This window comes from Homo sapiens, chromosome 3, assembly GCF_000001405.40.
Source record: "Homo sapiens chromosome 3, GRCh38.p14 Primary Assembly".
Lineage (NCBI taxonomy): Eukaryota > Metazoa > Chordata > Mammalia > Primates > Hominidae > Homo > Homo sapiens.
The window spans coordinates 152736755-152738992 of NC_000003.12; the positions used below are offsets into that span (position 1 = coordinate 152736755).

Here is a 2238-nt window from a genome sequence, read left to right on the forward strand (position 1 = left end):
ATGAATTTCTAAAATGCCATATAATGCAGGTTTAATGGAAAAGAAAATAGAGGATACAAATAAAATAAACATTATTAACAGATTAAAATTGATCATAAGATAATATTTACCTTGAATAAACATGGGTATATACATGCCAAGAACCATGTTAAGTGCTCGGAACACAGAGTTAGATTGCCATTTAGAAACTTAATATTTAAAGGAGTATACAAAGATATCTTAGCTAAACTATGAATCTCTAGATTGGATTTTCCAGGGTAGAGCCTGAGATAGGGATTCAAGAGTTGTTCTGAGGCATGCTGTTTAGGACTAGCCTCTAAGGAAGGGTGTGAGGCAAGACAGAGAAGGGGAAAGAGCAGTACAAGGATGTGGTCTCAAGTAAAACCCAGCCATGTCCTTATGTGCAAGGTGAATTGTTCTGAAACCTAAACCACATGAGCATTTTTGGCCTCTGAGGCAAGGGGGTTGGCCTTTTGCATCCTTGTATGAGTCAGTCACTGGCTGTGTTACCCAAGGGAAGGACGTGGCTCTCATCAGCTAAGAGCAATTTTCCAATGAAGGGCCAATTGTGGAGCCCTTACAAACCGACACTTGCAACAGTTTTGTAATTTCTAGAAAGAAATTAGCAAAAACTATAAATAATTGGATATATTTAAACATTTGAGTCTTGCCACAACTTATGCAAATTTCTGGACCTTTATTAGTGCTTTCTTGACTCTTCTTAATATACTCTCAAAACATTTGTTATTTTTCTTCTTCCAACATTATTTTATATTATTTGTCAGACTGCTAATTAATTGGCTAGTTCACTAATCTATTTTTTACTGGGATCTTGTTGTGATGGGCAAGAAATATCTATTAACCTCCTTGTCTTTCTTAATCTGTATAGCTTCAGCCAGACCTAGAAGTTTATCTGCTGAAGCTGTATACACCCCATCAGTAGCCCATCCTGCAGTTGGCTAACTCTGATTCCAAATTCCTTTCCGGTGGCGTCCATCTGCTGTGCAAAATGTTGTGAAAAGGCTTCCTATTGACTGTGATTCTCCAATGTGCAGAGCAGAGGGAATGACTTTCCTCTTGATAGACTTGGGTGTGTGAAGAACTATCCCTCTTATAACCGCAATGAAATTTGAGTACTGGAGCGAAATTTGGTAATTTCATCAGTTCATGGTGTTTTTTTTTTTTTTTTAATGTAGTAATTTTCTGTTTTTAAAAGACTACTACTTCACAAAAGCCTAACAAGAAGATATAACACTAAGAGAAAACTTTGCTTATGGTTATCAATAAACTTTAGTTAATTAACAGTATAATAATTTTTGTATATAAATTGTATTAAAAGATATATACATTTTCCTCATTCCGCTCTTAGGCTACCTATTATATATGTGATGTTGAATAGTTGCTTGTTTCTGCATGCTCATTATATTTTTTAATATCACGAATCTTTTAAAGAGAAATAATAATACCAAATCCTGTGAGCAATGCCATTTTTACAAATACTTCTCAATTAGCTTACATGTATTAATTTAAAGACCAATTTTGTTAGTTCTGAAAAACCATTTGAAATTTAAACAAGGCAGTTGAATCACACTTCGTGTTGTTGCTTTTTTTTTCCTGGTAGGTGGTAAACAAATGGAGCTATTTTAGGATCACAACCATTTAAAATGTAAGATTGAAACATAAGCCAAGATTCAGCTATGACTTTGTTTTTCTGCAAGTAAAATTATTTGTTTTCTTCCCCAATGTTTATTCTTTCTTTCTTACAAAGTAATTGGATAGTGTTTTTCTCAAAGAACAGTGAACAAATATGTAATTTTGATACAGTAATGCATTGTTTTGTTGAGGCTAGGGTCCAACACAGTGGAGAAATATATTAGTTTCCTATTGAGAACACTGGTGCTCAAAATAACTGACAAAAGTCTGTTTCTCCTGAAAAGTGCATTTTGAAAAATTAGTTGTTCAGCGTGGTAGTTATTGCAAGAAAAAGCATCTGTTAACTGGAACAAGTTATGTTTTCTTGTGGAACAATGCAAAATTCAACTTTTGCATTCAAAGGAATTGGCAAAAAGCCTGAAATATGTGGGTTTCACTTTTGCTTGACATCTCTTTGCAGTCCAGAGTCACCACAGGACAAAACATAATTACACAACAAATGACTTAAAGGAGTAATACAAATTTATCTAAAATATTCAAGTTTGTGCCAGTGACAGTTCATTTATATGTTGAGATGATTAGTAA

General features: G+C 34.0%; 1 annotated feature.

Moving 5' to 3' along the window:
• Nucleotides 252–301: an enhancer, noted in NCBI's record as "active region_20710". NCBI's record gives its function as "activates an Ori minimal core promoter by ATAC-STARR-seq in GM12878 lymphoblastoid cells {active_cell/tissue: GM12878}" and the evidence as "EXISTENCE:reporter gene assay evidence [ECO:0000049][PMID:35858748]".